We start from the raw sequence: 12,499 nt of genomic DNA, 5'->3' as shown, positions 1-12,499 counted from the left end.
AGAGAACCCAGGTGCCCCTGGACATTCTAAAGACCATCATCTGAGAGACTGCTCGGAAATGCAAAGCTCACAAAACATGTCATTTCCTGTCTCTAAGGTATTGAATACAAATATCATCTCCTTTTATCTCCCATCTCCAAAACAGTCCCCTCGGGTTGTGTCTCTCTCAAGTGCTCTGTAAACTTCCCAAATTGTCAGCCGGTCCCAGGAGATGCTTCCATCACACTGGGTGATCATCTCATGATAACTTCCGAACTGGCCTCCTGCACTGTTCACGGGTCTGGGTGGTTACCCGCGCAGCAGAATCACTCAGCAAACGCTTGGATGTGCACTGACTTTGAACGGCTAGAAAGTTCAGGGGCACCACCTGCCTCGGAGCTGCTGCATGACTCGGGTCTGAGGTGTCCCCTGAAATCTTGGGGACAGGCACTTCTTCTGCTGGCGTCAGACAGAATGTGGTCTCCCCACAGGGAGCCCAGTCCGATTCTGCAGAGCCCGGCTCGGCCCTGCTGGTCTGCGGGTGCCCTTTGCCCTCGTGCACACAGCGACACCTGGTGGTAAGCTGGTGAACCGCCGGGACCCCAGCGCTGTTCCTCAGCTCCATGCTGGGCTCCAGCTCACGTGCGCTGTGTGCACCGAGGGACTTGTCCTGGCACGTGCACACCCAGTCTTGTGCACCACCGAGTACTCCGTTGTGACAAAGTTATACTCAGTTATGTATGTCTTCTTCCTGCTCTGTGCAGAGAGCAGTCCCGTGGCCTCAGTCATGAGTCATTTGTCTGTACTCATTCTCAGAGGGGAAGAAAATGAGCTGTTTCTAACTACGTCTATCGTCACCACCCCGATCGCCATCCTTACTGCCATCAACCACCACCATCCCTGCCGTCACCACTACCATTGCCTCCACCACCGTTAGCCATCACCACCGCCTCACCGCCATCATCCCCACCACCCCTCGATGACCACAGCCACCTTTGTGCCTTTACTACTGTCACCCCATGCACTCTGTCGCTCCTGTAGCAGGGGCTAACTCCTCACATAGCAGCAGAATTGGGCAGCCCTGCCCGCTGAGGTTCCAGGAGGGAGGCTGAGGGCCTCTTCCACAGAGAGTGCTGTGAAAGGCTCTTGGAAGGAGGGCAGGAAGGACCCAAGAGAGCAAGGCAGAGGGAGGATGGGCCTTCTCCAGCTCCTAGCTGGCAGACAGGACAGCACGAGGTACCGCCTGGATGCATTTAGGACTGAAGTTTCTGCTGATGTCAACGAATGCTGGAAATGTCCCAAGACCCCAGTTCAGGACTGCGCCTCATCCAGGTGAGCAGTGCAGAGCAGTCAAAAGGGGCCAGGAAACAAGCCGCCCATTCATTCGTGCAGTCCAAGAACAAAGCCAGCGGGCCAGCTCCAACCTGTTGTGACAGAAATACCAGGGGATCTTTTCTTTTTCTTTCCATTTCCCCCAGGCAGCAACTGTACAAATGAAACTTCAAAACTAGAGCTCGGCCGTTCAGAGCCTGCACAGCACTGACCTGTTTCTTGTTCATTTAGCCTCATTCTCTCAGAAGACAGAAAGCCTCATTCATCAGAACAATCACTTCAGCCCAGAGGGGCTTGGGTGTTGTTTCTAAGACATTACAACTTGCAGCCATAAAGGAAAAATGAAATAAACGTGGCAAGAGTTTTGAAGTGGTCTGAATGACCCAATTAAACACATATTTTCAAGTCAAACACACCTTTCCTAATGTAGAGATAGAATTGTTAAATTTCACAAATTACCATGCTCGATAATTGTCTAAGAGTAATTTGTGTAGGATGACACTGTTTTCTATTTACTCTCATTCCCTAGGTGATGTCTTCTAGTCCCATGACTTTAAAATCTTCCATTTCTACATCTCCAGGGACACCTCCCTCCTTGATTTTCCCCACTTAGACACGTAATAGCCATCCCATTCTTAAAGTAGTTAGAACAAATTCTTTGATTTTTTTTTTTCCTTCCAAACCTGGTCTTGACACGTTTTCCCCCTTTTAGTAAACGGTAAACAGCATCCTCCTCATTGTTCAGCTGCAAACCTACACAGTCCTTCTTACCCCGCCTCCTTCACTCACACTACCCTCCACTGTCTCACCAAGCCCTCCGCTCTTCCTCAGTGCCCCCCAGTCCAGGCCCGGCTCTCTTGCTCAGACCTAGGCTGCCTCCCTGCTTCTCCTTTTGCCACATTTCTGTCAATCCTCCACCCAGCAGCCAGCATGCATTTGAAAGAACATAGATCATATCGTACCACTCTCCTGCTTAAAATCCACCAGTGGCTTGTTACTACACTTAGGACACAGCCAGAGCTCCCCACCCAGCCCTGCTGCTCTGTCCCCAACTCGCCTCTAACCCCATCTTTGCCCACGTCCTTCTTCTCTCCTTCATCCCAATCATCCTTCTTGCTCTTCCTTGAAAACATCAAATTCACTCCCACCCGAGGGACTTGGCACTCGGTCTGGACTCTGATCCTCTTCAGCTTGTTCCCTCACTCCATGCTGAAAGGCTGCCTCCTCCAAGAAGCCCTCCCTGACCACCTTATCTAAATATCCCTTGTCCCTTCACTCCTCATCTCCTTTTTTAGTTTTCTTTTTCTTCATGGTACTTATCACTTCCCGCCTGTCTCCTCCACTCAAATATAAGCTCCATAAAGGCAGGGATTTTTGTATGTTTTGTTCACTGCTATATCTCTAGCACTTAGAATATGGCCTGGCACACACTCAATAGGTATCTGAATGAATGAATGAATGAATGAGTGAGCATGATGCCCACCCAAAGCAGCTTGCTGCCAATCTTTGTGTCCTATGGGCTGTCATTCAAGGTGGCGGGATGGGCTCACTTGTTATCCTCCTGAGAGCAGCACTTAGAGATCATTTCTGAAGACAGCACATAAGGCGTTGGAAATGGCTCCCCCTCCTGGACCAGCTTGCTAGTGTTACCCACCGTTAGGGCAATGGCCACCCCGTGGAATGCACACCACAAGGGCAAGCGAAGAGCTCAGCGAATGGGGAAACTCTTATCCCATATGCTCAGCTGTCGGGCCTGGGATCATGCAAGGGAAAGTATACAGACAGCAGGCAGGGGAGTCCCCCGACAGTGGCTGTAGCCAGAACTGGCCACATAATTTGTAGGACCCACTGCAGAAGGCAAATGTAGAGCCTCAGCTAGGGGTTTCCTTTGGGCCCACTGCCCAACCCTCTACAGACAGACAACATCCAACAGCTTGCAACCCCTGTACCAGGATGTGTTCAAAACCTGACTTGAAGGTGAGCAAGAGGCCCACTGTATGCACCATGGTGCTATCAGCCTGGGCAGTGACAGCCATACCCTTGCCCCGCCCTGAGATGCCTGGTGGTGTGGGCCCAACCATTGCCTCACCCATACCCACACCCAGGCCCCTGCCAGGGGTGGAGGGCAATGGCAGAATGCTCCCTCCCTCAATGTGACCAGGTCACTGTTCAAGGTTGAAGGCAGCAGCAGGGGTGAGTGGGGGAGACCACCCAGGGGATAGGGGTGAGAAGCAGGCAGCAGAGAGCCATCCTGGGATGCTGAGGAGGAGGTGAGAGTCAGGGCCACACATGAGCCGAGGCTGCAAGCCCTGGCACATTCTCCACTGTCCCGTCACCCTTCTCGTATAGAACACAAATTCAAAGAGGATCAGCAAGCATTTCAAGACAAGAACCCCAGCAGTAAGCCCCAAGCTCAAGGCCCTTCTGAGTGTGGGACCCTGTATTACTCTACAGCCATGCACCCGTGGGCCAGCCCTGGCTGCAGCCATGAACAGAGGGCCCACCAGCATGGGTGTGTGACCCTCTCCTGTGTTAGAAGCATCTCTGCAGTTTGAGCAGCTCCAGACCACACCAGGTCCCTGTTGTCCTCTTGCTCCTGCTGCTATGGTGGCACCATCATTTGAGGTCAGGGAATTTGCACAGTAGTCCCTGCCTGAGAGCCCCCTTCATCTTCAGAGCCTAGAGTGGGTCAGAGCCCCTGCCAGCCAGCCTGCACAGGTGTGAAGCCCTGGATTGCTTGTTAAGATTTGGGAGGAATAAAAGATTTCTTAAATTTCCACTTGAGATTATTTAATCACAAGTGTGGTTTGAACAAAAAGTAAAACCTGAATATGAATTATTTTAAAATTGAGGTATAATTTACATACAATTAAATGCATAGATTTTTGTCAATGATATTCAGCACATGTATATACCATCACTCAATCAAGATATAAAACATTGCTATCAACCTAGAAAATGATCTTTCTAGTCAACCCTCCCATTCACAGAGGCAAGCACTGTTCTGATTTCTAGCATCGTAGATTAGTTTTAGCTATTTTTGAATTTTATGTAAGTGGAACCATACAGTAAGGAAACTTTGTGGCTTCTTTGACTCAAACTCAATATAACACTGAGTTTTATCCATGTAGCTGGGAAAATCCATTGCTCGTTCCTGTTATTGCTAAGTAGTATTTTATTGTATGACTATATCACAGTTTGTTTTGTGATTCCTGTTAATGTACATTAGGTTCGTTTCCATTTGGGAACTACTATGAATAAAACTTCCATAAATATTTTTGTATGTGTCCTTTTGTGAGCATAGTCTTTCATTTCTCTTGGATATATACCTATGAGTGGCAAATAAGCACATAAAAAGATGTTCAAGATCATCAGTCATTAGGAAATACAGATTGAAATCACAGTGATATACCACTACGCATTTAGTAATATGCCACTAAATTTAAACAGGTTGAAAGTTAGCAGACTGACCATAGCCAGTGTTGGCAAGGATCTGGGAGAACCAGAACATTCATAATCTGCTGACGGGAATGTAAAATGGTACAACCACTTTGGAAGATGGTTTGACAGTTTCTTTAAAAAGTAAACCTTTTACTTTTACCTTATGATCCAGCCATTCTACTCTTACCTACTTACCCAAAAGAAATTAAAGCATATATCCATAAAAATACTTGTACATAGATGTTCATAGCAGCCTTATTCGAAATTGTAAAATATTAGAATCAACCCAAATGTCCATTAACAGTTGAATGAATAGACAAACTGTGGTATATCCATATAGTAGAATGCTACTCAGCAATAAAAAGGAATGAACTGGCTGGGTGTGGTGGCTCACGCCTGTAGTCCCAGCATTTTGGGAGGCCAAGGCAGGCAGATCATGAGGTCAAGATATTGAGACCATCCTGGCCAATGTGGTGAAACCCTGTCTCTACTAAAAATACAAAAATTAGCTGGGCATGGTGGCACGTGCCTGTAGTGCCAGCTACTCGGGAGGCTGAGGCAGGAGAATCACTTAAACTGGGAGGTTGCAGTGAGCCAAGATTATGCCACTGCACTCCAGCCTGGTAACAGAGTGAGACTCCATCTCAAAAAATAAAAATAAAAAATAAAAAAAGGAATGAACTATTGACACATGGCAAACTTTAATGAAGCTAAAACCTATCGATGTATTCTATAACATGAACGAATCTCAAAATAATTATGCTGAGTAAAACAAGCCACACAAAACAAGAGCATCTACTACGTGATCCCATTTATATAAAATTATAGGAAATCCAAACTAATGTCTGATGACAAAAGCCAGATCAGACTTGGGTTGGAGGGACAGGGAGGGGCAAAGGGAGGGTTACAAAGCGGCATGAGGAATCTTGGGTGATGTGTTTGTTGTCTTGGTTGTGATATGGTTTCATGGGTGTACATATATGTCGAAACCTTTCAAATTGTATGCTGTATATAGGTGTAGTTAATTGTCAATTATACTTCAATGAAGGTGTGTCCTTAAAAGTCAAATGACTGTATAGTATAATGCTATTTCCATCCTCTCAGTCACTCTCCTTATTCAAGTACCACATGGTCTTATTTTTTGTAGCTGTATAGTAATTCATGAGTTAAGGTAGCATTTGTTCTCCAAGCTTGTTCTTTTTCAAGATTGTTTTGCATATTCTATATAAAGTTTATTTCCTTATTTCTATAACCATTTCCATATAATTTTTAGAATAGCTTGTCGATTTTTTTCAAGAAGTCTGGTGGTATTATGAATGAAATTGTGTCAAATCTGTAGGTAAATTTAGGAAGAATCCACATCTTAGATATATTGAGACTTCTAATCCGTGAGCATATTGACCTGTTTCTTGAATTATGCTTTTTACAGAATTTTTCATTTTATCTAATTTGTCAAATTATTGGTGTAAAATTTCTAATATCACCTAATAATTTCTGATGTCTGTAATAGCTATAGAAATACTCTTTCTTTCACTCCTGATATCGGTAATTTATAATATCCATCTTTTTTCTTCTTGATCAGACTTGCTAAGAATTTATACATTCATAATTTTTTTAAAGAACCACATTTTAGCTTTGCTGATTTTTCTCTATTACTCGTTTTCTAGTTTAGTGATGTCTTTTCCTTACTTTTGTTGTTTGTGCTTCCTTTTGGTACACTCTTTCCTTTTTCTTTATTCTTGAGGTGGAAAGTTAGTTCACTGTCTACTGATTCCTGTTGTTTCTGATCATAAGTGAAACCTCTTTTTTTTTTTTTTTTTTTTTTTTTTTTTTAAGATGGAGTCTTACTCTGTCACCCAGGCTGGAGTGCAGTGGCGCAATCTCAGCTCACTGCAACCTCCGCCTCCCGGGTTCAAGAGATTCTTCTGCCTCAGCCACCCTAGTAGCTGGGATTACAGTTGTGCACCACCACGCCTGGCTAATTTTTGTATTTTTAATAGAGATGGGGGTTTCACCTTGTTGGCCCAGCTGGTCTCAAACTCCTGACCTCAAGTGATCCACCTGCCTCAGCCTCCCAAAGTGCTGGGATTACAGGTGTGAGCCACCACACCCAGCTGAAACCTCATTCTTATTGTTCCCCTGAAAATAATGTGTCTTTTCTTCCTCTGGCTGCTTCTTATGTTTTCTCATTATCTTTGGTTTTCAGTTGTTAGATAATAATTTGCCTTTGTGGTTTCCTTTGTATTTATTTTGCTTGAGGATTCCTTGCTTCAGATATTGAGTTGTCTTTCTTCAGTTTTGTAAATTTTTAGCCAATATATTTTCAAATATTCCTTCTGCCCTATTCATTATCTCCTCTCCTTCTGAAATTCCAATTACATGTATGTTGGTCCTATTCTTATTGTCCCACAGTTCTCTAATGATCTGTTTAATTTTTTTTTTCATTCTTTTTTCTCTCTGTGCTTCAGTACAGGCCTTTTTTATTATTGACCTGTCTTTGAATTCATTGATCCCTTTTTCTGCTATGTCCAGTCAGCTCTTAATCTTATCGAAGCCCATTAATCCTTTATTTCAGATGTTGTATATATCAGTTCTACTAAAGGCTTGTTCTTCTCTGGAATATGATTGACTTAGACATATATTCCTTCATTACTGCCCCATGGCTTTTAAAAAGATATGAATTTTAGTTTATTTGGCATTTTTTGTTATGAGAACAACAATCTTTTTCAAACTTCTGTATCCTAGTTAGAAGTAGAATTCTGTGTACGCAATTTTGGATGCCCTATTTTTTCAAGTATGTTCAATATTATTGGAAAACTGCAAGTACAGTACACAGAACTTCCCCACATCCTTTACCCAAAGACCTCATTCAAATGTTGCCAGCTGTCTTAATATGTCCTCGATAGAAAGAAGATTCAAACCAGAGCACTCATTGCACTTAGCTGTCATCTGTCCTCAGCCTACTTCAATTCAGAACAGTGCTTGAGTCATTCCTTGATCTTTATGTCCTTAGCAGTTTTTAAAATTACAGGCCACTTATTTCTATTAGAGTTTGTCTGATGTTTCTTCATGAACTTTTGGCAAGAATATTACTGAAATTATGCCGAGCTCTTCTCCCCACATCCCATCAAGTAGGAATTTATGTCAACTGGTGACACCACTGGTAATGTTAATTTTGATCACTTGAGTAAAATGATATCTGCCAGCTTTCTCCACTATAAACTTGTCCTGTTTTTCTTTAAAATTAATAAAGTCTATAAAAGTAATAAATGTTTTCGGATGAGATACTTTGAGACTATGTAAATATCCTGTTGTTTCTCTTTCACCCGCTAATATTAACATGTCTCAATTCTGTAATCAGAATTAACTAGTACTGTGATTGCCAAATGAAAATGTTCAGTTCCATCATTTCTTCTATATTTACAAGTTAAAATTTACTGTAAAGAAGAGTTTCTCTTGTCCCCATTTATTTGTTCACTTTTTAAAAATCAGTTCCACCAAATTAACAGAAAGCTATTACCCATTACGACCTTACGATTTTCATGCTTAAAATGTCCCAGACTTGGCCAGTAGGAGCTTCTTCAGACTGCCTTTTATGTCCTTTTTGATGCATCTCATGATTCTTTAAGTGATTCCTTACTTTCTGGTACAAGATGTTCTAGGCTATTCTTATTTTTTCCCTGCCCCTTCCCTGGAACAAACCATTTTTTCAAAGAGCCTTGGTTCTTCTTAGTGGTGAGCTATTTTGAGAAGCAAAGATGTGAGCGTTAAACGTGCTCCTTGCTATTGGGGTTTTGCTGCTTGCAGATTCTCTCTGAAAGCGGGGTAAGGACCTATGTATACATAGACACATACACATGTATCTTGAGCTATAAACTGTGAGTTCACTTCAATACCTCCAATGCCAGTCCAACCACAGAGTTCATTCTAGTGTTCCCTCTTTTCATATTTGTAATTCTCTTCTTCCATGAAAAACCTAGTTCCCACTGTCCTCAATATATTTATATACTGTTAGATTCTCCTGCATATAAGATAACCTCCTGCCCCTGCCACGCTGCCGCACCACTCAGCCACCTTCCTGCACCTAATCCCACCTTGCCACCACCTGCCTCAGCTGCTACCGGAGACCGACAAAGCCACCCTCCCACTTGTGATGTCCCTTTCCTCGTGGTGGCTTTGACCCCCACTTGGCCACCACCATGCTCTGCCACCTCCTCTTTACTATGACTTTTTGAAGATAAAACATAGTTAGAATCTCCTCTCCTTGGAATTAAAAAAAGGTGAAAGTCATTCTTATGTGTTTAGAGTTGAAATCTAAGTATATTAACAAGAATCAAAAATAATTTAGTTTTGGTTAATGTGACCTGCTCAGAAGAATATTTTGATTTTTAAGATTGTCTAATTTTGCCACCATAAGTAAGACTGAGCCAGTACTTAGAATGACTTTTGTCCAAGCTTTAGGTGGAAATACATCAACGACAGTGGAGGGTAAAGCCTTCACTTTCGGATGCTACCATCTCAGGAGAGCCGGACAGTCAAACAGGCTTGTCCTGACCAACATAGATGAGAGATCAGATGACATTATAGGTCGAGACCCACACTGTGGTGGGCCTGCCTAAAGCAAGGCATTGCCTGCTCAGAAGATACTTCAAACTCAACTCAGTCTTTTGATTTCTTCTATCAGAAGTGGCTCAAAAGGAACTAGTCACTGACCTTGTATTTGTAGCCAGCCACATCTACATATCGAAGAAAGAAAGTACTGATGCTAAGGGCTTCTAAGTTGGGTTTGGAGGTGGAAGAGAGGTGCATAGGTTATTGGTAACAAATGTGTCCATTTTTTTCCTCCATTGTATCCCATTAATAGGCTTCTCTTTATTGTTTAAATTCCTGGTGGCAGGAGAGTTTAAACTTGCTTTTAACATGCAGGTGGGCTCAGGAAAATGAAAATAGGCTGTCTGGCAATAACCCAGGCTCCTAGGGTTCTTCTGCAATAGGAATTGTTCTTGTCTCTTCTCCAAAGGGCTAAATGGTGCCGTGTTGAAAATAATACCCCGGTATTTACCTCGAAGTGTTTCTTTAATTGTTGGATTCTGTTTTTAAAAGTCATAATCTGACTTTTGCCTCTGGCAACATAGCAGATAAATATTTTTTAAAATCCTTTTAAACACTGATGTGCTTGGTAAGAAAATAAGGACTACCTAGAGGCTAAAAATACAAGTGAAATCAGGAATCCAGAGAGGTAAGATAGCTGTGAGACTGACTTTACCTTGAGGGCTTTTGCCAAACTAGGTGAACGTTGGTTTTGGTTTACATACCCTCCGTGGCTCAGGATACCAAGGACAAATCCCAGGGTCCTTCCGAGGTAGGCATATGTGGAAGGTTCCCACTCCCAGTCCCCTATATATATACACCTGGGCCCCTCAAGTGCTATATCTGCAGTGTAAGGGTGAACAAGAAAGAAAGAAATCCACCCAGTCCCAAGGACTGGCAAGAAAATGTTCCTGCCTCAAATCTTGGCACTGAGTAGACAGAGAGAAATTTCCTTGAAAATGTATAACCATAGACTGATCGCCAGAAGGAATTGTAGCTCATATGCAAACTACCTGAGTAACCTGAAAAATCTCAAACATAAAATTTAGTTTAACCCAGAATGGTGGAGTCCTTGGGTGCCCGGCACAATCAAGAAGAGCCTATATCCAAACTATATCTCAAAAAATTTTCACAGATTATATTCCAGAAAATGTGAGCTCTTTTAAAAAGAAATCAAAACACCAAAAGGAGAATGCCATGTAAGAACCAACAAAATCTGTGAATAACAAAATGATACCGAATATAAAATATGTATATTTAATATTTTTTAAAAATTAAAAATATGATTGAAAATCAAGAGATTATACAAATGGCCAATCATCTTTATGAATGGCTAAAAAGAACTTCTGAAAATTCAAAATTCAAAACTCAGTGGAAGAGTGTAACAGTAGGTTAGAAATAGCTGAAGAGTTAATTTAAGAGCTGGAAGACGGATTTGAAAAATTATACAGAATGCAACATAGAAAAACCAAAGATGGGAAATGCGAAAGAGATAAGAGATACTTAAATAGAATGAAAATTTGTAGCATATTTCTAATTAGAATACCTGGAAAAGAGGGAGAAAAATAATGGAATAGAGATACCATTTAATGGAAGATAGGTAAGGATGTTCAAGAACTGATGAAAGATAGAAATCCTCACTTTCAGGAAACCTGATGAATTATAAGCAGAATAAATGCAAAGAAATATGTGTGTTTGCATCACAGAGAAATTGCAGAAAACCAGAGAAGATGTTAAAATTATCCAGACATCAAAAATGGATTACCTATAAGGGAATGAAAAGGCTATCAGGTAACATCTCAACAAAGCCAGAGGGCAGGGGAACAAAAGGTTTATCAAGTTGAAAGAAAAAAAATACACGAACATAAGAGTAATTACACAGCATAAAAAACTCTTTAAAATTAGGATAAAATAGACATTTTAGACAAACATAAAGAGAATTTGAGGTATAAGAAGGAATTATGAGGAATAAAGACAGACTCACAATATACAGTATTGTCATATAGTTACGTCAGGAAAGGTTCTAAGGTGTTCTAAGGTTCTTCATGGGGAGGGTTAAAGTGTTGATTATAGACTTTGGCTTAATTATACATTTTAAAATTTGAGATAAACAGTAGAAGAATAAAAGAGATATTTAATTTTTATATGAGCAGAAGAAGAAAATCAGGGTGAAGTATTTGATTCAAAATAAGGAACCAAAAGAGAGAAAGAGGACCACAGAAAAAGGCAAATAAACAATCTAATATAAACTAAATAAATAACATGTTTATGTGGGGGTACTATAAGGACAATGAATGAATCACCACTATATGCAGACATGGGTGTAACTAAATATCGTGGGAGAGCAAAAGAAGAAAGTCTCTGATGAGTACATAGAGTGTGATTCATTTATATAAAGTTCAAAAACATGGAAAACAACATACTGCATAGAAATACAAAGGTGAGATAAACCAAAAGAATGATAAACACAAAATTCAGGCTAATGACGGTCTCTGTGTGGCAATGAGGGAATAGAACTGGAGAGGGACACATGGGAAAATTCAAAATGAAAGACACCGTTCTTTTTCTTTAAATGAATGGATTCATCCGTTTGTTGTACGATAATGCTTAAGCCATCCATAGAGTGGATAAGTGTTCTTTTCTGTCTACTCATTATTTAATAGAAATAATTTAAACATTTATAGTTATTCAAATTTGATTTTTTGTGTGGTGTGAAATAGGTTTCCAATGTTGTTTCATTCTAGGTGGATAGCAGGTTGCCCCAGCATCATCTATCAGAGAGCTATCATTTTCCCATTGGAGTGGTAACTCTTATTATACATCTAATTTTCATATACATTGGCATTTATTTCTGGATCCTGTTTTCTATTTTATTGCCAAATCTGCAGTCACTGATTTGCCTTTTCCTAGGTTGATCTCATATTGATTTTATCACAGCAGCTTTCTGGGTTGAATGTTCTAGTATCTGGGAAGGCACATCCCCCTACAGTATTCTTTCTCTTATTTTCCTTGGTTATCTGGGGGCACTTATTACTTCAAATGAACTTTTTAAGATCATTTCATCTAAGTCTAAAATGATTGCATTAAATTTGTGTATTTATGAGAATGTCTTCCTACCCACGAATAAGCAATGTTCCAATCTTATTTTATGACCTTC

At 41.3% G+C, this 12,499-nt stretch overlaps 1 protein-coding gene across 3 annotated transcripts in view, besides 2 other annotated features; it reads left to right on the top strand.

Annotated features, from left to right (window-relative positions):
* Positions 1 to 12,499, top strand: part of FSTL4 (follistatin like 4) — a 645,613-nt gene that overhangs the window by 417,524 nt on the left and 215,590 nt on the right. The window lies entirely within an intron of this gene.
* Positions 393 to 687: an enhancer, noted in NCBI's record as "tiled region #9043; HepG2 Activating DNase unmatched - State 4:PromP". NCBI's record gives its function as "activates a minimal TATA promoter and a strong SV40 promoter by Sharpr-MPRA in HepG2 cells {active_cell/tissue: HepG2}" and the evidence as "EXISTENCE:reporter gene assay evidence [ECO:0000049][PMID:27701403]".
* Positions 778 to 827: an enhancer, noted in NCBI's record as "active region_23104". NCBI's record gives its function as "activates an Ori minimal core promoter by ATAC-STARR-seq in GM12878 lymphoblastoid cells {active_cell/tissue: GM12878}" and the evidence as "EXISTENCE:reporter gene assay evidence [ECO:0000049][PMID:35858748]".

This window comes from Homo sapiens, chromosome 5, assembly GCF_000001405.40.
Source record: "Homo sapiens chromosome 5, GRCh38.p14 Primary Assembly".
In the NCBI taxonomy this organism is placed as follows: Eukaryota; Metazoa; Chordata; class Mammalia; order Primates; family Hominidae; genus Homo; species Homo sapiens.
This window is presented reverse-complemented; position numbering and strand designations above follow the sequence as displayed.